This window comes from Homo sapiens, chromosome 8 (assembly GCF_000001405.40).
Source record: "Homo sapiens chromosome 8, GRCh38.p14 Primary Assembly".
Classification (NCBI taxonomy): Eukaryota; Metazoa; Chordata; class Mammalia; order Primates; family Hominidae; genus Homo; species Homo sapiens.
In genome coordinates, this window is record NC_000008.11 from 6,981,790 (window position 1) to 7,009,032 (window position 27,243).

At 46.9% G+C, this 27,243-nt stretch overlaps 1 protein-coding gene, 1 long non-coding RNA gene and 2 pseudogenes across 6 annotated transcripts; 1 reads left to right on the top strand and 3 right to left on the bottom strand.

Moving 5' to 3' along the window:
- Positions 1–5,388: 5,388 nt before the first annotated feature.
- DEFT1P (defensin theta 1, pseudogene) lies at positions 5,389–7,932 on the bottom strand (annotated as a pseudogene). The gene is made up of 3 exons (NR_036686.1): positions 7,870–7,932; positions 6,311–6,497; positions 5,389–5,634 (listed from the first exon to the last, which is right to left on the bottom strand). The product of NR_036686.1 is annotated as a defensin theta 1, pseudogene (transcript).
- Positions 7,933–11,287: 3,355 nt separating this feature from the next.
- LOC124901874 (uncharacterized) lies at positions 11,288–15,874 on the top strand. Of its 2 annotated transcripts, none has more exons than XR_007060789.1 (2): positions 11,288–11,512; positions 15,657–15,874. It is a non-coding gene; the product is annotated as an uncharacterized LOC124901874 (long non-coding RNA). The 2 variants fall into 2 exon arrangements; XR_007060788.1 differs by lacking the exon at positions 11,288–11,512 and adding an exon at positions 12,644–12,715.
- DEFA1B (defensin alpha 1B) lies at positions 14,977–17,409 on the bottom strand. Of its 2 annotated transcripts, NM_001302265.2 has the most exons (4): positions 17,334–17,409; positions 16,445–16,488; positions 15,788–15,974; positions 14,977–15,207 (listed from the first exon to the last, which is right to left on the bottom strand). In NM_001302265.2, exons 2-4 carry the CDS (start codon positions 16,451–16,453, stop codon positions 15,098–15,100), a joined length of 306 nt encoding a protein of 101 aa, NP_001289194.1. In that variant the 5' UTR covers positions 16,454–16,488; positions 17,334–17,409; the 3' UTR covers positions 14,977–15,097. The 2 variants fall into 2 exon arrangements, with proteins under 2 accessions (NP_001289194.1, NP_001035965.1); NM_001042500.2 differs by lacking the exon at positions 16,445–16,488.
- A 7,082-nt stretch (positions 17,410–24,491) lies between these two features.
- DEFT1P2 (defensin theta 1, pseudogene 2) lies at positions 24,492–27,035 on the bottom strand (annotated as a pseudogene). Its single transcript, NR_036687.1, has 3 exons — positions 26,973–27,035; positions 25,414–25,600; positions 24,492–24,737 (listed from the first exon to the last, which is right to left on the bottom strand). The product of NR_036687.1 is annotated as a defensin theta 1, pseudogene 2 (transcript).
- Between the last annotated feature and the right edge of the window lie 208 nt (positions 27,036–27,243).

Below are 27,243 nucleotides of genomic sequence, written 5' to 3' on the forward strand. Positions count from 1 at the left end.
TCAGAAGATCGTAGTTTACTATCCATCCACAGTCCATTGTTCAGTATATGTTTGATGTTGAGATGGTGGATGTCCTGTGATGATATGGGGAGGTCTCATTATTGGAGAACATGTAAATGATGTTATCTGTAAGGGAAAAAAGAAGCTAACTCTTCTGTGATCACCAAGATAGGCACCAAAGTGCGTCTAGCCCAATTGTGATGAGGCAGTGGTGGCCATGGGATTGAGAGTTAAAAAAGTGACGGCCCTTGGAAGGACCTTGGTGCCTTGGGTGTCCATAGCACATCCAGAGACATTAATAACCATGACTTTAGGAGGCCACCGTGCTGCTTGAGGAGGCTGGTGGCTTGGGGACGATGGACTAAATGAGACTCCCTTAACCCACCCTCATGTTGTGATGTCCTGAGGTGGGAGCCTCCATCTGAATCAATGATAGGTGTGGTTCTAAAGGAGATAGTGAAGAAATGCCACGTAAAGAGAACACCTGCTCCACGCAGGGCATAAGGAGCTACGGTCCCTGGAAGACTACATGTGCAGAAGCTCATAGTTAGGACAGGTGTGCTTTGTCCAGAGGCTCTGAGACTTATGATGGGTGGTAGTGAGGGCCTCCCCATGAAACTCAGAACCCGGGACCCGGGCATGGACTAGAGAGATCACCTGCTGGACCAGCAACAGACTGTATCCTGCTGTGGCCCCAGTGGATGTGAAGGGCTTCTGGGTGATGGCATTTGTGGGCCTCAGCAGAATGGACAAGTGGGGTATAGCTGTCTCCAAAGACACGATGTCCCAGTACATGGAGGGCCAGCTGCAAAGTGGCTAGGACACTAGTGGTGAGGATTTGGTTTTTAACTGCAAGGGGACTTTGTCAGCCCACTGATGACAAATTGATGCCCAGAATCTTTACAACAGTGCTGGAGGGGCCATGAGTGTGTCCTCCAGAAACGTGGCCACTGTCCAGGAAGAGGGAGAGCGGGTGCAGCAGCTCTGCCACAGACATATGTCCTGGCCCAGGCGGTGGCTTTACATGCAGCACCCAGAGCGATTTGGGGAGCTGAGGGAGAACAGAGACCCTCCAGCTGGCTCAGAGTCACTGGTGGCTCCTGTCCCTGGAGGGGTGGCCTTCTCTGCCCCAACCCAGTCTTGTGCTCTCCTTCCCTGCCATTCTTGGCTGCAGGACTGGGAACCATCTGCTGGGACGTTGCTCTGTGTCTCCCTCATGGCCATGCTCCCATCCTTGCCTCCTCCATAGACTGCGGTCAGGACTCAGCAGCCCAGAGCCCCAGCAGGGTCTCAGTCTGTACTGAGGTCACACCTAGGCATTGTCGCCATCCTTCGGCAGGTGATTCTCAAACTCCAAACTCAAATTAGAACAGAGAGATTCTTCCCTGTGGTCCTTTTCACTTTTCTCTTTTGGCTGCACCAGAACCTTGGCAGAATTTTGTGGTTTAAACAAAAAAGGTGTTATGCCTACAGATTTTTTACAGTACTTTCACTTCCATGTTGATCCATAGTCCCCAACCCCAGCCTGATGTTTTCCACTGATTGCAGCCAGTGTAGACAATCAGTGTCCACACTGTGGACACTATATGTAGATGCAGCTGAAGCTGTTTTTTTCAGACACACGCATTTGAATTTTAGGGAATATTGAAGCGAGTCTAGACTCAATAAAAACCTTGACATCATTAGGCTGGGGTAAACATTCTGGAGAAGCTGTGGGTGGGGTTGTAGGTGTGAGAGGAGAGAAGCTTCCAGGAGCAGCACACATATTCTCACACATGTTTATGGTGTCTGGTGGCCTCAGCAGACACAGTGTGTGTGGACCTTGGGCGGGGCCCTGGGGTTATGGTTTTGACCCGGTAGGAAAGGGTAGTCATGGAACACAGCATGCGTGTTACCATGGGGCGCAGCGGGGGCTACGCAGAGGTGAGCTCTGAGGAGGACCCTCCACCTCCCAGCTCCTCAGAGTGCATCGCGCTGTCCCTCCCCTCAGCCCTTTGTCCACTGTCCTGCAGGGAGGGTCCTGGTGCTGCCTGTGCCACACAGTCACTCCCGGGCCTGCAGATCCAGCTGGGACAGGTAGGAGCTCCAAGTCCCTGCCCTTTGTCTGCCTTTCCCAGCCGCCTCTCACAAGCTGTCTGTGTGTCTGGTGTTGAGGATTGCAGCAGGTTTATTTTACAATAAACCATAAGGAAATAGCTTCCTTGAGCTGTTTTAAAATATGGCCCTAAATCCCTGACTCTTTTCACATAAAAATGGAGGTGAAAATGGCTCCTGTTGAATCTAGATTGGGCGACATCTTGACCAGTTGAACACACCTGACTTAGCACCGTGCTGTTTGTTGGGCTAAGGTCATAAGAAGTTGGTATCTTTCACTTCCTGAGTATTGGATGGTGCTGCAGCCTGAATGTTTCTGTCCCTCTGAAATTCATATGTTGAAATCCCTCCTCTGGTGACAGCATGAAAAGGTGGGGCTTTCTGGGAAGTGATATGTTCAGGAGGATGGAGTCCTCATGAGTTGCATTAGTGCCCCTGAGGAAGAAGCCCCAGAGAGCTCCTTCATTCATTCCCTCAGGTGAGGAAGCAGTGAGAAGGTAGCATCTATGAACCAAAAAGCTGGTCCTCACCACACACCAAATCTGTTGGCACCTTGATTTGGACATCTCAGCCTCCAGAACACTGAGAAATGTATTTTTGTTGTTTATAAGTCACTTGGTGTATGATTTTCTTTCCCCCAGCATCCCACATATACTAAGAGTGCTGGTGCCTTTGAAGCCCAGCTACAATGCTTGGAGGAAGTCTAAGCATTGCAAAAAAAGGAACTGAACCCACCTGCAAGGAAGAGCTAGAGAACCCAGAGCAACCAGCTTTCTAGGAAAAACAAAACTCTGATATGCAGTGTTTGTAAATCTCTCTGGTTCAAATCCTCCTAGCTATGAGTGGGATAAAAAGTGTCACACCTATCTTTTCTCTCATGAGCTGGCATGACCTGGCCTCAGTGCATCACAGTATCTCATCCCTCAGCCTGTCAGAGCTCCCACTGAGCCAGCCCAGCACTCCCCGCTACCTGTGCGCAAGCGTCTTGGCCCTGAGGTTTTCAGCTCCCAGCAGAACCTGTCCTCTGTTGCCCATGGAGGGGGGCTATGTCCCAATTGCAAATGTGTGAATGACGACCTGATCGTGCTGTTTTAATTCCCTAAGTTTTGTGGTGTCTTTTCACACAGCCCTAGATGAACAGAGGGCATTTTCACAGTATTGCTGAGGAATTGGATTTGTACATATTTTGTGTGTGTAAATCTCAACTTCTCTGAAATATTGATAAAATAGGAGGGAATTTTCTCAACTTCTTCCCAAAGCGTCACAAAGAGCCCATCATGGTGGGGGATGAAACTGTGGACTCTATGGAGTGACTGAGGAACCCTGTCTCATCCATTCTTAGTTTGAATTTTTCCTGTGTGGAGGAGGGGTAGTGGATCCAGGTGGAGTCTCAATCTCTCCACTGAGGGACAGACTCAGAGGAGGGCATGGGACTCGGGAGTTGACTGAAACAATGGAGAAATCAATAGGGGTTTTCTCCCGGATATCAACAACGGAGGCTGTGGGGAGATAACCACAATTCATGTGGCTGTCACTTGGGGAGCGAGCCCAAGTTATCAAGAGAAAAATGGGGGTGATAAAAGGTAAAGACAAGAAGGACTCTTATGCTTTGGGTCCTTCAATCAGGGATTTTATGAAGCCAGAATTCTTTCATAAGTATCAGGTGTGGCAGTCAAATTGTTCACTCAGTTTGTTGTGGTTTCTTAAATTTGAATGCAAAACTCAGCTAATATGCCTGAAAATTATATAAAAATATTACCTAGCTCAGAGAATCTGAGTTAAAGACAGTACAGTTCATAAGAACAGGAAACGAGGGTAGATGACAGGTGTTCCTGGTGCAGCCTGGGGAACAGACTCCCGGGTGATTCCCAGGCACGTTTCTGTGGGAGAACAGCCTTATCGATGCTGATCAGCAGGGAAGGAGGGATGGCTACCGGAGAGGCTGGAAGTACAGCGGGTGAGTCAGCAACAGGGACCTTCATACTTGATATTCAGAGATGCAGGAATTCCAGGTGGTGGCAGGAGCATGGGGTGGAGGGCTGGAACAAAAGTGGGGGTCGCTGTCAGCCAGGAGGATCCAGCACAGAGAGGTTGGGAGGGTGACTGAGAGGAAATGTGAGAGTGGGCTCTTTCCCTTAGGTTCTTCATGAGTTGTTTGTTTCTTAGTGAAAAAGGAAAAATTTCAGATACTCATAAAATGGAATGAGTACTTTTCAGATCCCTTTCCTTCTGGTTTTGCTTGTAAGCCGAGTTTAGAAAATCAGAAAAGAAATAGCCAAAGAAAACTATTTCATTTATTGTACAAGAAAAAATTCACCAAGACGTCGCAGAAATGTGAAGGAAGCGCTTATTGAAGACTGGTGAAATAGGAGTCAGAACGTTGCAATAGGGAGAGCCGTTGGCCTCAACTTCCCTGAAGACAAAGGCAGGAAAGGTGAAACCCTGGGTGAGCTAGGGGAAATGCACTGGAGGTTGGCACCCACTCTGTCCTCCTTGGGATCTGCATGGGCTTCCCCATCCATGCAGTGTCTCAGTGGGGTGCCTGGACCCCTGAGCTGCCTCAGCACCCTGCAGCAACAAGAAGGCTACCCTTTTCCTGGTGAAGTGCTTTCCCGGCCTCATCCCTTATCCCCTCTGAAGCTGTATTTTCCAGGCAGAATCAGATTCTCAGCGGCTTTAAGGCAACAGAGGAGAGTGCGTCTTGCAAAGTGTAGTGGAGCATTTGTGCTTGTGTGTTTTCTGGGTGTGAAGACAACTTTATGGGTGTGAAATCCAGGTCTTAGTAGACCTGGCTGGAGGGTGCTTTTAATGTGGACATCCCAGTGTGGGCCGCTGTGCTTTCTGTTCCATGCATCCCGCCTTTGCTAACAACCCATTTCCCTCTTGAAGTTGTTTCAGTGAATCTCCTGTAACCCAATGGTTTAAAAGGCAAATGTGTGACCTGGACACGTTCAATAAAACCCCAGTTCTTTGGGACAGATGATGCTGGTTTCTCCTGAGGAGGAATGATTTTGTGACTGCGTGAACTTTAAGCTGACACTGATTATTTGCCCAGCACACGGGAGCTCTTTGAGAGTGGATCCAGAGAAAATGAGGCAGAGTGAAAAGACAGAGCAGTGGATGGGGAGATGGGTGGTATGATTTGGGCCTTCATTTCCATTTGAGTCTGAAGCTCAAACGCCTGCTTGAAATTCCTAGAATTTCAAATTTTATTTTGTTTAAAAACTTAGGATTCTGGTAAGTGCATCCCAAGTGTCTTGAGACACAAAGACACATCAAATGTGAAAGAGATGTAAAGAGAGAAATCTTGCAACAAGGTATTTATTTTGGATGAGAAAAGGAAATGGAGGACAAGGTACAGGAGTAACAAGAATTTCTTTTAACTCTCAAAGTAAATTCTGAGCTTATGTTTCTTGATTCTGCAAGCTCAGCGGCAGCAGATCCGGTGGAGTGTACCACGAAAGGCGCAGGACCCAAAGCGACGTTATAACAAACGGCAAATTCCTCTTCCGCAAATGCACCTCAAGCCTCTCGCTGAGTCTGAGGACACAGGGAAATCATCATAAATGGATCAGAAGGTCAGCAGTGATGGTAAAGGGAATCTTGGATAAGTCATGTGCTAGGTAATGAGTGATGTTGGCTGCATTGGGGCCAGCAGCATGAACAGCCTCAGTCAATAGGAATAAATACACAGAGCAGTGCTGGTCACACAGGATTTGAGACTCATTCTCATTTGAGCTCATTTTTGTGCTTCTGCCCCGTCACACACACAGCTGAACACACTCTTGGGCTTGGCTCTACTTTTTAAAAACTATTCTACAGATACAGTAAAATATTCTCCTTGTAATGAAGTCTACTTGTGTGAATCCAGAAAGAACGAGTCAGACTGTCTCTTCATATCTAAAACCTACTGAATTTCACAGACATATCTTGACGTCAAGTTTTATTTTTCAATTTTATAGATTTTCTAAAGTGAAAGGATTGTTAAGGAAGTAAAGGAATAAAAGAATGGTTACTCTCCAGGCAGAGCAGCCTCAAGTCTTTAAAGACAGAAAGATTTATTTGGCTCTCTATTCAATTTATAGATGAGAAAACCAAGGCCCAGAGATGCTAAATGAAGCCCCCGAAGTGACATGGACCATTGAGACTCGATTCCACACTCTGTCTCCCATCCATCCCACTAGACCCTGCAGTTCTGCATGCCGGCCTGTCTCACCTGAAAGCGGAAGAGCGGCACTTTCATGCCATGTAAAGGCATGAGCCATTTCCTGATCATCTGCTCCAGGCTGCTCCTGGGCTGCAGCTTCATCAGCTCTTGCCTGAAGTGGCTCTGCCTGAGCCTACAGGGCCACCAGGAGAAGCATGGCAGTGAGGAGGGCAAAGGTCCTCATGGCTGGGGTGACCTGGAGGAGGGAGAGCAGGAGCAGACGAGTCGGGAGAGAGGAGTTAGCCTGGATATATAGGTCTGCAGAGAGAAGGCTCGGAGACAAGAAACCTGGAACCCTCTCAGAGAAAGGAGGTGTGCATTTCGTTGGAGACTGTGTGGGATCCCGTTGGTCTCAATGTCCCTGTTTTCTTCCTTTGCTCTCCCAGCTTTCACTCTAGTTTGAATCTCTACGTGTAGTGTTTGTGCTGGGTTGGAGAGGATGGTGACGACGAGGATCCTGGCATGTTTTTCTTGTTTCTCACTTCATTATATATTGACTTTTTACTATTCTACCAAAGGATAACAGCAGTGCTTTTGTTCGATAAGCTCAGGATACAAATGCCTCTTTTCCTGCAGATGGCCCCACTACTCTGTACAGGTCTACACTCTGGCAGCAGGCGTGAATTCCTATCAAGTGAAGAGTCATTTGTTGCAGGCATCAAGGGCGTGACCACTCTCATGAAGGCATGGGGTGAGTAGCCTCCTGTAGGGGCCAGTGTGAAGAGGACAATGACCCTATCAGGCGATAGGTGACATGAACACAGTGATATTAAGGCAAAAAGTTCGTCTACAGCCAAAAATGTGTTTCTGGCTCTATTGAGATATGAATAAGAATTTAAAACGGTATATATCTCCTGTATACCACCTTAGGATTTGATGTTCATGTACATGTGGTTTTTTATCATATACTATATACACAAATCAACTCAAAATGATCGAAGACCCAAACATAGACCTGAAACCATAAAATGACGAGAGGAACATATGAAGATAACGCTTTGTCATTGGTGTCGATAACGATATCTTTGCTATGACACCAAAGACACAGGCAATAAACGGGAAAATAGACAAATGGGGCTGCACTGACCTCTAAAGCATCTGCACGTCAAAAAACAAACCAACAAACAAATAATCAACTGAGTGAAAAAGCAACCCAGAAAATGAAAGACAATAATTGCAAACCCTAGGTGGTAGAAGGGGCAAATATCTAAATACATAAGGAAGTCAAACAACTCAAAAGCAAATAACAAGTAACCTGTTTGAAAAACAGGCCAAGGAGCAGGATAGGCTTCTCTCCAAATAAAAGGATGTTCTAAGGAGCTATTGTTGTCTGTATTGGACGTGTCAAGTAGGACACGTAGATTTAGAAGGAAATTCCTTGAGGTTCTCTATTAATTGAGCCGGTAGCTAAAGCTCCCAGCAGCCACCAGAGGTTCAGAGAGAAATGCGCAGCAAGAGATTCACCCACAAGGTCCCTCTGGGGTGGCCCAGGAGTCAGAGGTCAGACTGGGGGCACAGGTTCAATGTTGAAACCTCAATGTGAAAGTTTTAAGTCTTGGGTTACTTACAGATCCTCAAGGTAGGCAGAGTGAAGAGGGAGGGCAGACAGCAGTCCTCTGTCCCGGGTCTCCTGTAGCAAGAGCAGCCGTGCACAAACAGGAGAGGACTTCCCTATTTAAGAGTCATTTGGGATCAGGTGTCCTAATAACCTGGGTTACTTTCCATTGGGTTTATTAAATAACTCTGGTGGGAAGGACAGTTGAGAAATTTGATGGGAAGCTGGGGTTCGGACAGGAGTCCATGGAGGGTCCCCTCATCTGCCTTTGTCAACCTTGCCCAGGCCCAGGCAGCAACCAACGATGGATTCTCCATGACTCCTAACACAATGGACCCCGAGATGCCTGTGCTGGTGGCTGATGCTGAGCTAGTTGCAGCAAGGGAATATTTAAAGCCCCCAGGAGAGCCTGGCCTGCATATCACAGGACACACTCTGTTAGAGAGACAAGTTCAAGTTTGACACCCATGCACAGGAGAGGATGAGGAATCTTCCCCTGAACCAGCCTGCCCAGTACCTGAGCTCTAACCATAACAAGACACCAAAGCCGATTGGTGGGCTGGGATGTTGCAGACCACCTGGTTGAGACTGAATCCCACGTGGGCTTGTGTTAGCAGGCAGGGCAGGTTTTGCTGGGTTCGTTAAGGATGTGCACATAGTATGTGGTTCCCTGGAGTGGACAATTGCCTCATTGCTTGGGCAATGGACAGTTTAAGGCCAAACGAGTGTCTAGGACCACTGGGGCCAAGAACTCCTGAGTTTCCTGCTGGAGACCTAATGTCTCTTGAAAGTCTCTCAGGGAGGCGGCCAAGGTGGCAGTGAGTTTGGTGTTAGCTTGCATCACCTGGTGCTCTGTGCTCCAATGCCTTGCTCTTAAGCCCATTCTGGGCAGGCTTAAGAGTCTCCATGCACATAGCATGAGTGGGATGATCAGTGGTCGCTTGAAATATGCAGGATCAAACTCCTGTGGTTCCTCCTGTGTTATTTGAGGAGAATTCCTAAGAAGACTAGAGCACATTTTAAAATGTACCACTATCCACCGTCCTCCTCCTTCTCCTAGTCAGGTAGATGGGGTAAGGTTTCTGGAGATGAGAAAAGAATGCAGTCGCTCGAGAGGCAATAAATACCTGTGGTGAGGTTGCTGAACCCAGTGTGCACGCCGGGCAGCCCCTGCCACCATGGGAATGTCGTGCACAGCGCTGGTCCCACAGGCTGGGTGCTCAGGGCCCCCCCTGCAGCTCTGTGTGAAGGCAGCAGGCATCGGCCGGTGGAGGCCTGGGGGCAGTGGAGTGATAACTAAAGCATCTCCCTCAACCTTAAGGTAGAAGAGGCATCTCAAGCTTTGCTAGAGGCGGTCGCTGTGGCAGAGCAGTGGGGTCTCCTGTCCCTCTGAGGAAGCAGTGAATTCCTGATGTGTGGCAGGCCCAGGAACTTCAGCTTTGGAGGAAGTGAGCACCAGTCTCACCCCAGCATAAGAAGAAATTTGGGCTCTTCGGGGAAACTGAGGCTCTGGTGACAGTTTTAGCTTCCAGGGCATTAGTAGGTGCCTGTAGGGTCGCAATGATGAGGTTATAGGGACTAAATATGAAGGGGTGTATATGAGCGAGAGGAAGATCTCCGGGTTCTGGAAATGTCCCATGTCCTGCGGAAGTGAAACCTGGACCTGCTTCCTGCACACAGAGCACACTCCAGTCCACAGGCATTTCCACAGCACTGCATGAGCGTTATCACTGGAGAGCTGGTGAGATTCGGGCGTGGTATTCTTACACATAGTTCTCCCAAGTCTATAGTTTTCCGTAGCTTGTAGGGCAGCTTTACAATCTCACTGAGGCTCTATGGGTTCCTTGCACCATAAAGTAATGGGCTTATTCTGAAAGCAAATGGTGATCTCAGCAAAATTCCACTCTAATGAGGTCATTTTTGGTGTAATCAGCAAAGCATGAGGTCAGGGAAGCAGCAAGTCAAGGGTTTGGGTACTGGCCATGAGCCAGCACCATGTACTGGAGATGGCGAGGTCCGTATTTGTAGCAGTAAGGAAAGGCTGGTTGGTGGTGATCTCGTGGTCAAAGTGATTTTCCTCTACAAGGGACTTAAACAAATAAGTAAGCAAAAAAGAAATGAGCCCTTTAAAATGCGTGCCAGGGCATGAACAGATACTTCTCAAAAAAAGACATACAAGAGGCCAAGAAACATGAAAAAATGCTCCACATTACTGATCATTAGAGAAATGCAAAATAAAACCTCAAAGGGATACCAGCTCACACTAGTCAGAATGGCTGTTATTGAAAAGTTAAAAAATACTGATATTGGCAAGACTGCAGAGAAAGAGAACGCTTATACACTGTTGAGGGGAATGTTAATGAGTTCAGCCATAGTGGAAAGCAGTTTAGAGATTTCGCAAATAACTTAAAATAGAACCAGCATTCAACCAAGGAATCTCACTACTGGGTATATATCCAAAGGAAAACAAATTATTCTGCCAAAAAGACACATGTACTCGTATGTTCATGGCAGCATCATTCATGCTAACAAAGACATGGAGTCAACCTAGATGGCCATCAGTGTTGGACTGGATGAAGAAAATGTGGTACATATACATGATGGGATACTACATTCATAAAAGAGAATGAAATTATGTCATCTGCAGCGAGTGGGATTCAGTGAGAAGGTGCCGTCTATGAATCACAAAACTGGTCCTCACCAGACACCAAGTGTGTTGGCACCTTGTTTTGGACTTCTCAGCCTCGAGAACACCAAGACATATATTTCTGTTGTTTCTAAGTCACTTGGTGTATGGTATTTTTTTCCAGCACTCCACATACACTCAGATTGCTTGTGTCTTTGAAGCCCGGATACCATGCTTGGAGGAAGTCTAAGTGTTGCAAATCCTGCTAGCTATGAGTGGGATACAAAGTGTCACACCAATCTCCTCCTTCATGAACCAGCATGATCTGACGTCAGTGCCTCACAGGGTCTCATCCCTGAGCCCTGTCAGAGCTGCAGCTGAGCCAGCACCCCCTGCCACCTGTTCACAAGTGTCTTGGGCCTGAGGTTTTCAGATCCCAGCAGCACTTCTCCTCTGATGCCTGTGGAGAGAGCCACCTCCCAATTGCAAAAGTGTGAATGAAGACCTGATCATGTTGTTTTAATCCATTAAGTCTTGTGGTGTCTTTTCATAGAGCCCTAGATGAACAGAGGGCAATTTTCACAGTATTGGTGACAAATTGGACTTGTACTTTGTGTGTGTAAATCTCAGCTTCTCTAAAATATTGATGAAATAGGAGAGAACTTTCTCAATTGAATCCCAAAGTGTCACAAAGAGCCCATTGTGGTGGGGGCATGGAATTGTGGACTCTTTGGAGAGACTGAGGAACCCCGTCTCACCCATTCTTAGTTTGAATTTTTCCTGTGGGGAGCTGGGGTAGTGTGGGATCCAGGTGGAGTCTCAACCTCTCCCCTCAGTGACAGACTCAGAGGAGGGTGTGGAACTCCAGAGCTGGCTGAAACAACGGAGAGAGAAGTAGGGGTTTTCTCCCGGAGATCAGCTATGAAGTCCCAGGGAAGATGACCATTATTCACACGGCTGTCATCTGGGGAGAGACCCCAAGTTAAGATCAAGAGAAAAAAGCGGGAAACAAAATGGTAAAGACAACAAGGTAACTCATGCCTAGAGTCCTTGGATCAGGCATTTTATGAAGCCAGAAGTCTTTCTTTTCTTTTCTTTCTTTCTTTCTTTTTTTTCTTTTCTTTTTTTTTTTTTTTTTTTGAGGCAGAGTGTAGATCTGTCACCCACGCTGGAGTGCAGTGGTGCGATCTTGGCTCACTGCAACCTCCACCTCCCAGGTTGAAGCGATTCTCCTGCCTCAGCCTCCTGAGTAGCTGAGATTACAGGCACCCACCACCACACCCGGCTAATTTTTCTATTTTTAGTAGTAGAGACAGTTTTCACCGTGTTGCGCTGTCTGGTCTTGAACTCCTGACCTCATGATCCACCCTCCTTGGCTTCCCGAAGTGTTTGGATTACAGGTGTGACCCACTGTTCAGGTGGGGCATTCAAAATGTTAATTCAGCTTGTTGTGGTTTCTTAAATTTGAGTGCACAACTCCGCTAATATGCCTGAAAAAGATACAACAAAAATTACCCAGATAAGAGAAGCTGAGGCAAAATGGTGCAGTGCATAAGAATAGGAAATGAGAGCGGATGGCAGGTGTCCTGGGTGCAGCCTGGAGAAGAGACTCCTGGATGATTCCCATGCACAGCCCTGGGGGAGAACAGCCTTATTGATGCTGATCAGCAGAGAAGGAGGGACGGCTATGTGAGAGGCTGGAGGACAATGGGTGTGTCAGGGACAGGAATTTCATAAGTGATGTTCAGAGATGGAGGAATTCCAGGTGGTGCAGGAGTTAGGGAGTAGCCATGGGGTGGAAGGCTGGAACGAGGTGGCAGTCCCTGTTATCCAGGAGGACACAGAATTGAGATGTTGGGAGGTTGACTTCTAGGAAATGTTAGAGTGAGCTCTTTCCCTTAGTTTCTTCATGAGTTATTTGTTTTTTTCGTGAACACGGAAAAAATACAGATATTCCTAAAATGGAATGAGTTCTTTTCAGATCTCTTTCCTTCTGGTTTTGCTTATAAGCCGAGTTTAGAAAATCAGAACAGTAACAGCAAAAGAAACCTATTTCATTTTTTGTACAAGTAAAAATTAACCAAGACCTTTTAAAAATGTGAAGGAAGCACTTATTGAAGACTGTTGAAATGGGAGTCAGAACGTTGCAACAGGGAGAGCCGTTGGCCTCAACTTTCCTGAAGCCAAAGCGGGAAGGTTAAGGCCTGGGTGAGCTAGCGGAAATGCACTGGAGGTTGGTAGTGGGAGTCTTGCAGTGTGATTGGGCCATCTGCGTTTGCTAGTTTGTGCTTATTGGAGTTAGGCTCCTGCCTGCCTACAGAGACAGGGCTGCTGTCCCCTTGAGTAGTTACATTTAAAGGGATGAGGCATCTAACTTATTCCTTATTTCCTTGTCCTGCCGCATGAATGGCTCATTTCCGGTAGAAAAGTTCTTGCATGTCATCACTAATCCTAGAGTGTATGTGCATCCCAGTAAACAGTGTTGTGCCTCATTTGAGGCTAAGCAAGTTGCCCTGGTTGTTTGGAGACCCTCACACCTCTCCCTGAATTCTCCGTCCCTAGAGTTTGCAGCAGTCATCGCCCACCCTAGACTGCAGTAGCAGAAGCCACATGTGGTGCTCCCAGTGTGCCTTTATCCACACAGAGGAGCAGGGAGGCTCCGTCCTCATCTGCCCCTTTCCCTTGAGTTGATGGATGCCTCTCAGCACATCAGCATGAATTCTACTCCGTCCTTCTCTCTGGCAACATCCATTCCTCTGAATTCAGTGGAGGTCCACCCTCATCCTGCATAGCTCTTGCCCTGATAGCATTCTGTCCACCAAACATTTCATTCTACCTCTGCTTTTAGTCATTCCATGTTTTAAACATATTGATGTTGTACTTGAAGATTCACATGGAATCTTTTTGCCTGCTTTAGCCGGAATGGCCTGCTTCTTCTAAGGTCCTAAAGCTTCATGATGCCAAATAGTACCCATGATGTTTTTTCATGTTTCAGCCTTGAATACTTTTATTTATTTTGTTTTTTAAAGGTGTGCTGTCATAGGGTCTAGAAAATGGACTGCTCTACCTCTGTTGAATTTAGTTTTTTCCTATGGAATTTAGGAATAACAATTAATAAATAATTTTATATTGTTATGTGCTATTAGATGCAATTAGTTAATGTAATCAGAATTAATTTAGTAACCCCCTACTTTATGTTACAGTCATCCATGCACTCTGGTACAACAATAAGCAAAACATGCAGCTTCCCTTCTGGAGTAAGGAGGCAAATGTTACGTTTAGTAAGTGAAGTGTACAGGGAGTGAGACGGTTGCAATTCTATAGTTAGCAATGAGGAAAATCGGAGAATGGAGGTCAGCAGGGGGATCTTGTTGCAATTTAAGGTTGAGAGATCAGAAAAGACCTCAGTGACCAAGTGAAGTTTTAGCTGAGACCTCAGATGCTTGGGAGAAAGTCAGGTGGACCTCTGGCAGATGCCCCAAGATGCAGCCATCTTGATCCATTTCATAGTTCAGAATACTATGGAAAGTTAATTCGGGGACCACATGATTCCAAGTCCGTGGCAGTCACAGGAAGCCAAAGAAGGCTCCTGGGCTTCACACCGTGATTCCCTATTTGTGTCCTTCATCACCTAAACAAGAAGAAGTCTGGGATCATTACCCACTCTGTCCTCCCAGGGTTCTTGGTGGGCTTCCATATCCATGCAGTGTCTCAGTGGGTACCTGGGCCCCTGGGCTGCCTCAGCCCCCTGCAGCAACAAGAACGCTACCATGTTCCTGGTGAAATGCTTTCCCTCCCTTGTCCCTTATCCCCTCTGAAGCTGTATTTTCCAGGCAGAATCAGGTTCTCAGCAGCTTTAGGGTAACACAAGAGGGTGCGCGTTGCAAAGTGCGGTGGAGCATTTGTGTGTGTGTGTTTTCTGGGTGTGAAGACAACTTTATGATTGTGAAATCCAGGTCTTAGTAGACGTGGCTGGAGGGTCCTCTTAATGAGGACGTGCCAATGTGAGATGCTGTGCTTTCTGTTCCATGTATCCCGCCTTTGCTAACAACCCATTTCCCTCTGAATGAAAGTTTTTTCCGTGGATCTCATGTAACCCTATGTCTTAAAAGGAAAATGTACAATCTGACATTGTTCAATGAAACTCCAATTCTTTAGCACAGAGGATGGTTTTTTTTTCCCGGAGAAGTAATGATTTTGTGACTGCATGAAATGTAAGCTGACACCGATTGTTTGCCCAGCACACGCGAGCTCTTTGAGAGTGGATCCAGAGAAAATGAGGCAGGGTGAAAAGGCAGAGCAGTGGGTGGGGAAATCAGTGGTGTCATATGGGCCTTCTTTTCAATTTGGATCTGAAGCCCAAACTCCTGCTTGAAATTCCTAGAATTTGGAATTTTATATTGTTCAAAAATTTGATTTTGCGTTTTGGTACGTGTATCCCAAGTGTCTTGACACAGACACATATCACACATTAAAGAGGTGGAAACACAGAAATCTTGTAACAAGGCATTTATTTGGGATGAGGAAAGGAAATTGAGCAGAAGGTACAGGAGTAATAGCAATTCCCTGTAGCTCTCAAAGCAAATTTTGAGCTCATTTTTCTTTTTCTGCAAGCTCAGCAGCAGAATGCCCAGAGTCTTCCCTGGTAGATGCAGGTTCCATAGCGACGTTCTCCTGCAATGCACGCTGGTATTCTGCAATAGCAGGCCATGTTTTTCCTTGAGCCTGGGACAGGGAGAGCATGAGAAATTGAGTATGGAGTTAGCAGTGGGTAAGAAAAAGAATCTCGGGGAAGTCACATGCTAGCTGACAGGTGATGCTGGCTGCATTGCAGCCGTTAGCACGAACAACCTCAGTCGATAGGAATAAACACGCAGAGCAGTGCTTGTCACTCAGAATTTGAGACTCATTCTCCTTTGCTCTCATTTTTGCATTCCTGCCCCATCACACACACACCTGAACATATCCTCAGGCTTGGCTGCAGTTTTTAAAAGCTCTTCTGTAGATAGAGTAAAATGTTCTCTTTACAACTAAGTCTACTTGTTTAGATCCAGAAATAACTAGTCTGTCTCTTCATATCTGAAACTTAGTGAATTTCACAGACGTTTCTTGGAATCAAGTCTTTGGAGAAATAAAGTTTCTCATGTTTATTTGGCTCTCTGTTCAATTTCTAGATGAGAAAATCAATGCCCAGAGATTCTAAGTGAAGCCACCTCAGTGACATAGACTGCTGAGACCCAACTCTGGAACCTCTCTCCCGTCCTTCCCTCTAGACTTAGCAGCTCTGCATGCCTGCCTCTCTCACCTGGATGCTTTGGAGCCAAGCTTTCGTCCCATGCAAGGGAAACAACCACTTCTGGGATGTCCGCTGCAATCTGCTCCGGGGCTGCAGCAACCTCATCAGCTCTTGCCTGGAGTGGCTCAGCCTGGGCCTGCAGGGCCACCAGGAGAATGGCAGCAAGGATGGCGAGGGTCCTCATGGCTGGGGTCACCTGGAGGAGGGAGAGCAGGAGCAGCTGTGTGGGGAGGGAGGAGCCAGCCTGGATTTATAGCTCTACTGGGAGAAGGCTCGGAGACAAGAAACCTTCCTCAATCTCAGTGAGAGGAGGTGTGCATTTTATAAGAGAGGCCCATTGGTCTCAAGGTTGCTCGAATGCTCCTGTTCTCCCAGTTTCATGCTAGTATACATCTGTACCTTTAATGTCTGTGCTAGGTTGGAGCTAATAATGACAAGAAAGACCCTGCTATGTTACTCGTGGGTTCACCTGCTTAAATATTATGATTCACTTTTTAACATTCCAAAAAGAATAGAAATTGCACTTTGATTCAACAGGCTCAGGGAACAAATGCTTCTTATTTTCTGAAGATGGGTCCTGCTGTTCTCTGGAGGTCTAGATTCTGGTGTCCTATATGAGTTCCAATGGAATAGCGAGTAATTCACTTCAGGATTCAGGTGACTTACCATCCTCATGAAGAGGTTTTTGAGGTTATGGGGTGAGTAGTCTCCTGTAGGAATCAGGGTGGAGAGGACAATGATTTTATCAGGCTAAAGGTGAAATCAGCTCAGTGACACAGAGTGGTTTAAGTAAAAAAAAGAAAGTTTATTATTTCCACCTCTACTTAGACTTGAGTAACAATTAACAATTGTATATTTATAGTGTACACTACCTCATGATTTTATATATGTATGTATTTAAATCTTTATCTCACACCATGTAGAAACATCAACTCAGAATGAATTGAAAACCTAAATGTAACAACTGAAACCATAAACTACTAGAAGTGTATAGAAGGATAAAGCTTTTGACATTGATGTAGGTAATGATTTCTTGGCTATGACACCAAAGGCACAGGCAATAAAAGGGAAAATAGACAAGTGTGGCTTCATTTAACGCTAAAGCATCTGCACAGCAAAGGAAACAATCAACCGAGTGAAAAGATAACCCAGAAAATGAGAGAAAATATTTGCAAAACCTACATGGCCGAAGGGGCAAATATCTGAATACATAAGGAATTCCAACAACTCAATAGCAAAAATCAAACAACCTGATTGAAAAACAGACCAAGGACCTAAATAGGTTTCTCTCAAAAGAATGTTCCAAAGACCTGTGATAGTCTCTACTGGACATGTCAACCAGGACATGTGTGTTTAGAAGGAAACTGCTTGAGTTTCTCTATTAAGTTAGCTGGAAGCCATCGTCCCCAGCAGTCACCAGAGGTCCGGACAGACGTTCCTAGCAGGGATTCGCCCGCTGGTTCCCTCTGGGGTGGCCCCACAGTCAGAGGTCAGATTGGAGGCATAGCTTCAATAATGAAAACTCAGTGTAAAGTTTAAGTTTTGTAGTACTTACAGATCCTCTAGCTAGGCAGGGTGACCAGAGAGGGCAGACAGCAGTCCTCTGTCCCAGGTCTTCTATAGCAAGGAGCAGCCGTGCACAAGTGGACTTCCCCTATTTAAAGGTCTTTTGGGATGAGGTGTCCTAATTTCCGGGGTTACTTTCTGTTGGGTCCATTAAATAATTGTGGTGGCAAGGACAGTTGAGAAATTTGGTGGGAAGGTGAGGTTAAAGTAGAACTCCACAGAGGAACCTCTCATCTACCTTGGTCAGCCCTGGCCAGGCCCAGGCAGCAACCAACTATGGATTCTCAATGGCTCCTAACACAGTTGACCCTGTGATGCATTGGCTGTGGCTAAGCTGAACTACCTGCACCAAGGGAATATTTAAAGCCTCTGGGACAGCCTGGCTGCGTATCATAGTATACACCCTGCAAAGAGATTGGGATAGGAATGCCACCTACACACAGAGGAGGATTTGGAATGTGTTTCTAAAGCAGTGTCCCGAGGACCTGGGGTCTAACCATAAAAAGCAATGAAAGCCATTTGGCTGAGCTGGGATGTTGGAGAACACCCAGGTGAGAATGAGTGCTACCTGGGCTTCTGTTGCTATGTGGAACAGACATTTTTGGGTTCTCCTGAGTACTGGATGTACACGCGGCATGTGGTTCCCCAGAGGTGACTATCACCTGTTTGCTTGGCCAATGAACAGTTTAAGCTTAAACAATTGTCTAGGATCATCTGGGCCAAGAACTGGTCTGAGGCATTAGCCATCAGGGTGGGAGTGGCCTTTCCAGATGGCCACCCAAGAAAGGAGGTGGGAGTCTGGGCATTCACTTTACTGCTGGTGTTGCACAGCCTCTCAGGCCTTGTGGGCCTTCAGAGAAGCATTCAGCAAAAGCTTGAGTGGTGCTTTCTGGGAGGCATAGGAGTTTCCATCCTTCACTGGTACACATCGGAGAACAGGTGTATCCCTGAGCCCATGATCATGTCTGGATGCTTTCTGTGAATGCAATGCTCCAACTCTTCAGGCTGCAGTCTGGGTGTGTGCTGCGGCGTCATGAGCCCATTTGGATTGAAGCCTGTGCATCCAGAGAACTACCTCCTCATCCTTAAAACACGATCTGTGGTTGTGAGGGCTGCTGGTGTTTAAGCATTGGTGCCATGGGACCCATTCAATATCTAAGGGTTGAGTTGCCCGCCTTGGACACAGGTCAGGTTGTATCTGGGGTGCAGCCCCTGTAACAGGGCTTACAGGGAATTCCCCAGTTTTCCAGTCTGGGGTACAAATTCTGACTAGGGCTGTCCTGTTCCAGCAGCCCTCTAGGCTGCCAGGCCTGGGTTAAACAGCTACCCCACAAGCCATTTGTACATAAGATACCAAGCAAGGCCAATCATAGAGAACACTGACATCTTGTCACTCAGGGCTTTCTTCCCAGTGCTTCTATATTGACACTGATGATGGGGTTGGCTGGCACCCACTTTTCCTTGGAGCCTTTCTCCCCCATGGCCACGTTTGGTGATGGCACTTCCATATGGTCTTTGCCTGACGTAGTTGGTGTCTCTAGTTTGAAGGCTTCTTCTCCTCGTTACTGCCTCTGACTGCACCCTCGGTGGGTTCTGGAGCAATAATCCCTACTTCCTGCCAGGAGAAGTAAGTGGGAAATATTAGCTAACCTTTAAAACCGGTAAAAAAGGGAGCTTTTGCCAGAAGCTGCATGTGAAATGGAGAGGTGTGGTCTAACAAAAGCCTCGTGGTCCTGCTGGGTGCCAGTGGGCCTGGGGGGTTATCCTCAGAAGATCGTAGTTTACTATCCATCCACAGTCCATTGTTCAGTATATGTTTGATGTTGAGATGGTGGATGTCCTGTGATGATATGGGGAGGTCTCATTATTGGAGAACATGTAAATGATGTTATCTGTAAGGGAAAAAAGAAGCTAACTCTTCTGTGATCACCAAGATAGGCACCAAAGTGCGTCTAGCCCAATTGTGATGAGGCAGTGGTGGCCATGGGATTGAGAGTTAAAAAAGTGACGGCCCTTGGAAGGACCTTGGTGCCTTGGGTGTCCATAGCACATCCAGAGACATTAATAACCATGACTTTAGGAGGCCACCGTGCTGCTTGAGGAGGCTGGTGGCTTGGGGACGATGGACTAAATGAGACTCCCTTAACCCACCCTCGTGTTGTGATGTCCTGAGGTGGGAGCCTCCATCTGAATCAATGATAGGTGTGGTTCTAAAGGAGATAGTGAAGAAATGCCACGTAAAGAGAACACCTGCTCCACGCAGGGCATAAGGAGCTACGGTCCCTGGAAGACTACATGTGCAGAAGCTCATAGTTAGGACAGGTGTGCTTTGTCCAGAGGCTCTGAGACTTATGATGGGTGGTAGTGAGGGCCTCCCCATGAAACTCAGAACCCGGGACCCGGGCATGGACTAGAGAGATCACCTGCTGGACCAGCAACAGACTGTATCCTGCTGTGGCCCCAGTGGATGTGAAGGGCTTCTGGGTGATGGCATTTGTGGGCCTCAGCAGAATGGACAAGTGGGGTATAGCTGTCTCCAAAGACACGATGTCCCAGTACATGGAGGGCCAGCTGCAAAGTGGCTAGGACACTAGTGGTGAGGATTTGGTTTTTAACTGCAAGGGGACTTTGTCAGCCCACTGATGACAAATTGATGCCCAGAATCTTTACAACAGTGCTGGAGGGGCCATGAGTGTGTCCTCCAGAAACGTGGCCACTGTCCAGGAAGAGGGAGAGCGGGTGCAGCAGCTCTGCCCATATGTCCTGGCCCAGGCGGTGGCTTTACATGCAGCACCCAGAGCGATTTGGGGAGCTGAGGGAGAACAGAGACCCTCCAGCTGGCTCAGAGTCACTGGTGGCTCCTGTCCCTGGAGGGGTGGCCTTCTCTGCCCCAACCCAGTCTTGTGCTCTCCTTCCCTGCCATTCTTGGCTGCAGGACTGGGAACCATCTGCTGGGACGTTGCTCTGTGTCTCCCTCATGGCCATGCTCCCATCTTTGCCTCCTCCATAGACTGCGGTCAGGACTCAGCAGCCCAGAGCCCCAGCAGGGTCTCAGTCTGTACTGAGGTCACACCTAGGCATTGTCGCCATCCTTCGGCAGGTGATTCTCAAACTCCAAACTCAAATTAGAACAGAGAGATTCTTCCCTGTGGTCCTTTTCACTTTTCTCTTTTGGCTGCACCAGAACCTTGGCAGAATTTTGTGGTTTAAACAAAAAAGGTGTTATGTCTACAGATTTTTTACAGTACTTTCACTTCCATGTTGATCCATAGTCCCCAACCCCAGCCTGATGTTTTCCACTGATTGCAGCCAGTGTAGACAATCAGTGTCCACACTGTGGACACTATATGTAGATGCAGCTGAAGCTGTTTTTTTCAGACACACGCATTTGAATTTTAGGGAATATTGAAGCGAGTCTAGACTCAATAAAAACCTTGACATCATTAGGCTGGGGTAAACATTCTGGAGAAGCTGTGGGTGGGGTTGTAGGTGTGAGAGGAGAGAAGCTTCCAGGAGCAGCACACATATTCTCACACATGTTTATGGTGTCTGGTGGCCCCAGCAGACACAGTGTGTGTGGACCTTGGGCGGGGCCCTGGGGTTATGGTTTTGACCCGGTAGGAAAGGGTAGTCATGGAACACAGCATGCGTGTTACCATGGGGCGCAGCGGGGGCTACGCAGAGGTGAGCTCTGAGGAGGACCCTCCACCTCCCAGCTCCTCAGAGTGCATCGCGCTGTCCCTCCCCTCAGCCCTTTGTCCACTGTCCTGCAGGGAGGGTCCTGGTGCTGCCTGTGCCACACAGTCACTCCCGGGCCTGCAGATCCAGCTGGGACAGGTAGGAGCTCCAAGTCCCTGCCCTTTGTCTGCCTTTCCCAGCCGCCTCTCACAAGCTGTCTGTGTGTCTGGTGTTGAGGATTGCAGCAGGTTTATTTTACAATAAACCATAAGGAAATAGCTTCCTTGAGCTGTTTTAAAATATGGCCCTAAATCCCTGACTCTTTTCACATAAAAATGGAGGTGAAAATGGCTCCTGTTGAATCTAGATTGGGCGACATCTTGACCAGTTGAACACACCTGACTTAGCACCGTGCTGTTTGTTGGGCTAAGGTCATAAGAAGTTGGTATCTTTCACTTCCTGAGTATTGGATGGTGCTGCAGCCTGAATGTTTTTGTCCCTCTGAAATTCATATGTTGAAATCCCTCCTCTGGTGACAGCATGAAAAGGTGGGGCTTTCTGGGAAGTGATATGTTCAGGAGGATGGAGTCCTCATGAGTTGCATTAGTGCCCCTGAGGAAGAAGCCCCAGAGAGCTCCTTCATTCATTCCCTCAGGTGAGGAAGCAGTGAGAAGGTAGCATCTATGAACCAAAAAGCTGGTCCTCACCACACACCAAATCTGTTGGCACCTTGATTTGGACATCTCAGCCTCCAGAACACTGAGAAATGTATTTTTGTTGTTTATAAGTCACTTGGTGTATGATTTTCTTTCCCCCAGCATCCCACATATACTAAGAGTGCTGGTGCCTTTGAAGCCCAGCTACAATGCTTGGAGGAAGTCTAAGCATTGCAAAAAAAGGAACTGAACCCACCTGCAAGGAAGAGCTAGAGAACCCAGAGCAACCAGCTTTCTAGGAAAAACAAAACTCTGATATGCAGTGTTTGTAAATCTCTCTGGTTCAAATCCTCCTAGCTATGAGTGGGATAAAAAGTGTCACACCTATCTTTTCTCTCATGAGCTGGCATGACCTGGCCTCAGTGCATCACAGTATCTCATCCCTCAGCCTGTCAGAGCTCCCACTGAGCCAGCCCAGCACTCCCCGCTACCTGTGCGCAAGCGTCTTGGCCCTGAGGTTTTCAGCTCCCAGCAGAACCTGTCCTCTGTTGCCCATGGAGGGGGCTATGTCCCAATTGCAAATGTGTGAATGACGACCTGATCGTGCTGTTTTAATTCCCTAAGTTTTGTGGTGTCTTTTCACACAGCCCTAGATGAACAGAGGGCATTTTCACAGTATTGCTGAGGAATTGGATTTGTACATATTTTGTGTGTGTAAATCTCAACTTCTCTGAAATATTGATAAAATAGGAGGGAATTTTCTCAACTTCTTCCCAAAGCGTCACAAAGAGCCCATCATGGTGGGGGATGAAACTGTGGACTCTATGGAGTGACTGAGGAACCCTGTCTCATCCATTCTTAGTTTGAATTTTTCCTGTGTGGAGGAGGGGTAGTGGATCCAGGTGGAGTCTCAATCTCTCCACTGAGGGACAGACTCAGAGGAGGGCATGGGACTCGGGAGTTGACTGAAACAATGGAGAAATCAATAGGGGTTTTCTCCCGGATATCAACAACGGAGGCTGTGGGGAGATAACCACAATTCATGTGGCTGTCACTTGGGGAGCGAGCCCAAGTTATCAAGAGAAAAATGGGGGTGATAAAAGGTAAAGACAAGAAGGACTCTTATGCTTTGGGTCCTTCAATCAGGGATTTTATGAAGCCAGAATTCTTTCATAAGTATCAGGTGTGGCAGTCAAATTGTTCACTCAGTTTGTTGTGGTTTCTTAAATTTGAATGCAAAACTCAGCTAATATGCCTGAAAATTATATAAAAATATTACCTAGCTCAGAGAATCTGAGTTAAAGACAGTACAGTTCATAAGAACAGGAAACGAGGGTAGATGACAGGTGTTCCTGGTGCAGCCTGGGGAACAGACTCCCGGGTGATTCCCAGGCACGTTTCTGTGGGAGAACAGCCTTATCGATGCTGATCAGCAGGGAAGGAGGGATGGCTACCGGAGAGGCTGGAAGTACAGCGGGTGAGTCAGCAACAGGGACCTTCATACTTGATATTCAGAGATGCAGGAATTCCAGGTGGTGGCAGGAGCATGGGGTGGAGGGCTGGAACAAAAGTGGGGGTCGCTGTCAGCCAGGAGGATCCAGCACAGAGAGGTTGGGAGGGTGACTGAGAGGAAATGTGAGAGTGGGCTCTTTCCCTTAGGTTCTTCATGAGTTGTTTGTTTCTTAGTGAAAAAGGAAAAATTTCAGATACTCATAAAATGGAATGAGTACTTTTCAGATCCCTTTCCTTCTGGTTTTGCTTGTAAGCCGAGTTTAGAAAATCAGAAAAGAAATAGCCAAAGAAAACTATTTCATTTATTGTACAAGAAAAAATTCACCAAGACGTCGCAGAAATGTGAAGGAAGCGCTTATTGAAGACTGGTGAAATAGGAGTCAGAACGTTGCAATAGGGAGAGCCGTTGGCCTCAACTTCCCTGAAGACAAAGGCAGGAAAGGTGAAACCCTGGGTGAGCTAGGGGAAATGCACTGGAGGTTGGCACCCACTCTGTCCTCCTTGGGATCTGCATGGGCTTCCCATCCATGCAGTGTCTCAGTGGGGTGCCTGGACCCCTGAGCTGCCTCAGCACCCTGCAGCAACAAGAAGGCTACCCTTTTCCTGGTGAAGTGCTTTCCCGGCCTCATCCCTTATCCCCTCTGAAGCTGTATTTTCCAGGCAGAATCAGATTCTCAGCGGCTTTAAGGCAACAGAGGAGAGTGCGTCTTGCAAAGTGTAGTGGAGCATTTGTGCTTGTGTGTTTTCTGGGTGTGAAGACAACTTTATGGGTGTGAAATCCAGGTCTTAGTAGACCTGGCTGGAGGGTGCTTTTAATGTGGACATCCCAGTGTGGGCCGCTGTGCTTTCTGTTCCATGCATCCCGCCTTTGCTAACAACCCATTTCCCTCTTGAAGTTGTTTCAGTGAATCTCCTGTAACCCAATGGTTTAAAAGGCAAATGTGTGACCTGGACACGTTCAATAAAACCCCAGTTCTTTGGGACAGATGATGCTGGTTTCTCCTGAGGAGGAATGATTTTGTGACTGCGTGAACTTTAAGCTGACACTGATTATTTGCCCAGCACACGGGAGCTCTTTGAGAGTGGATCCAGAGAAAATGAGGCAGAGTGAAAAGACAGAGCAGTGGATGGGGAGATGGGTGGTATGATTTGGGCCTTCATTTCCATTTGAGTCTGAAGCTCAAACGCCTGCTTGAAATTCCTAGAATTTCAAATTTTATTTTGTTTAAAAACTTAGGATTCTGGTAAGTGCATCCCAAGTGTCTTGAGACACAAAGACACATCAAATGTGAAAGAGATGTAAAGAGAGAAATCTTGCAACAAGGTATTTATTTTGGATGAGAAAAGGAAATGGAGGACAAGGTACAGGAGTAACAAGAATTTCTTTTAACTCTCAAAGTAAATTCTGAGCTTATGTTTCTTGATTCTGCAAGCTCAGCGGCAGCAGATCCGGTGGAGTGTACCACGAAAGGCGCAGGACCCAAAGCGACGTTATAACAAACGGCAAATTCCTCTTCCGCAAATGCACCTCAAGCCTCTCGCTGAGTCTGAGGACACAGGGAAATCATCATAAATGGATCAGAAGGTCAGCAGTGATGGTAAAGGGAATCTTGGATAAGTCATGTGCTAGGTAATGAGTGATGTTGGCTGCATTGGGGCCAGCAGCATGAACAGCCTCAGTCAATAGGAATAAATACACAGAGCAGTGCTGGTCACACAGGATTTGAGACTCATTCTCATTTGAGCTCATTTTTGTGCTTCTGCCCCGTCACACACACAGCTGAACACACTCTTGGGCTTGGCTCTACTTTTTAAAAACTATTCTACAGATACAGTAAAATATTCTCCTTGTAATGAAGTCTACTTGTGTGAATCCAGAAAGAACGAGTCAGACTGTCTCTTCATATCTAAAACCTACTGAATTTCACAGACATATCTTGACGTCAAGTTTTATTTTTCAATTTTATAGATTTTCTAAAGTGAAAGGATTGTTAAGGAAGTAAAGGAATAAAAGAATGGTTACTCTCCAGGCAGAGCAGCCTCAAGTCTTTAAAGACAGAAAGATTTATTTGGCTCTCTATTCAATTTATAGATGAGAAAACCAAGGCCCAGAGATGCTAAATGAAGCCCCCGAAGTGACATGGACCATTGAGACTCGATTCCACACTCTGTCTCCCATCCATCCCACTAGACCCTGCAGTTCTGCATGCCGGCCTGTCTCACCTGAAAGCGGAAGAGCGGCACTTTCATGCCATGTAAAGGCATGAGCCATTTCCTGATCATCTGCTCCAGGCTGCTCCTGGGCTGCAGCTTCATCAGCTCTTGCCTGAAGTGGCTCTGCCTGAGCCTACAGGGCCACCAGGAGAAGCATGGCAGTGAGGAGGGCAAAGGTCCTCATGGCTGGGGTGACCTGGAGGAGGGAGAGCAGGAGCAGACGAGTCGGGAGAGAGGAGTTAGCCTGGATATATAGGTCTGCAGAGAGAAGGCTCGGAGACAAGAAACCTGGAACCCTCTCAGAGAAAGGAGGTGTGCATTTCGTTGGAGACTGTGTGGGATCCCGTTGGTCTCAATGTCCCTGTTTTCTTCCTTTGCTCTCCCAGCTTTCACTCTAGTTTGAATCTCTACGTGTAGTGTTTGTGCTGGGTTGGAGAGGATGGTGACGACGAGGATCCTGGCATGTTTTTCTTGTTTCTCACTTCATTATATATTGACTTTTTACTATTCTACCAAAGGATAACAGCAGTGCTTTTGTTCGATAAGCTCAGGATACAAATGCCTCTTTTCCTGCAGATGGCCCCACTACTCTGTACAGGTCTACACTCTGGCAGCAGGCGTGAATTCCTATCAAGTGAAGAGTCATTTGTTGCAGGCATCAAGGGCGTGACCACTCTCATGAAGGCATGGGGTGAGTAGCCTCCTGTAGGGGCCAGTGTGAAGAGGACAATGACCCTATCAGGCGATAGGTGACATGAACACAGTGATATTAAGGCAAAAAGTTCGTCTACAGCCAAAAATGTGTTTCTGGCTCTATTGAGATATGAATAAGAATTTAAAACGGTATATATCTCCTGTATACCACCTTAGGATTTGATGTTCATGTACATGTGGTTTTTTATCATATACTATATACACAAATCAACTCAAAATGATCGAAGACCCAAACATAGACCTGAAACCATAAAATGACGAGAGGAACATATGAAGATAACGCTTTGTCATTGGTGTCGATAACGATATCTTTGCTATGACACCAAAGACACAGGCAATAAACGGGAAAATAGACAAATGGGGCTGCACTGACCTCTAAAGCATCTGCACGTCAAAAAACAAACCAACAAACAAATAATCAACTGAGTGAAAAAGCAACCCAGAAAATGAAAGACAATAATTGCAAACCCTAGGTGGTAGAAGGGGCAAATATCTAAATACATAAGGAAGTCAAACAACTCAAAAGCAAATAACAAGTAACCTGTTTGAAAAACAGGCCAAGGAGCAGGATAGGCTTCTCTCCAAATAAAAGGATGTTCTAAGGAGCTATTGTTGTCTGTATTGGACGTGTCAAGTAGGACACGTAGATTTAGAAGGAAATTCCTTGAGGTTCTCTATTAATTGAGCCGGTAGCTAAAGCTCCCAGCAGCCACCAGAGGTTCAGAGAGAAATGCGCAGCAAGAGATTCACCCACAAGGTCCCTCTGGGGTGGCCCAGGAGTCAGAGGTCAGACTGGGGGCACAGGTTCAATGTTGAAACCTCAATGTGAAAGTTTTAAGTCTTGGGTTACTTACAGATCCTCAAGGTAGGCAGAGTGAAGAGGGAGGGCAGACAGCAGTCCTCTGTCCCGGGTCTCCTGTAGCAAGAGCAGCCGTGCACAAACAGGAGAGGACTTCCCTATTTAAGAGTCATTTGGGATCAGGTGTCCTAATAACCTGGGTTACTTTCCATTGGGTTTATTAAATAACTCTGGTGGGAAGGACAGTTGAGAAATTTGATGGGAAGTTGGGGTTCGGACAGGAGTCCATGGAGGGTCCCCTCATCTGCCTTTGTCAACCTTGCCCA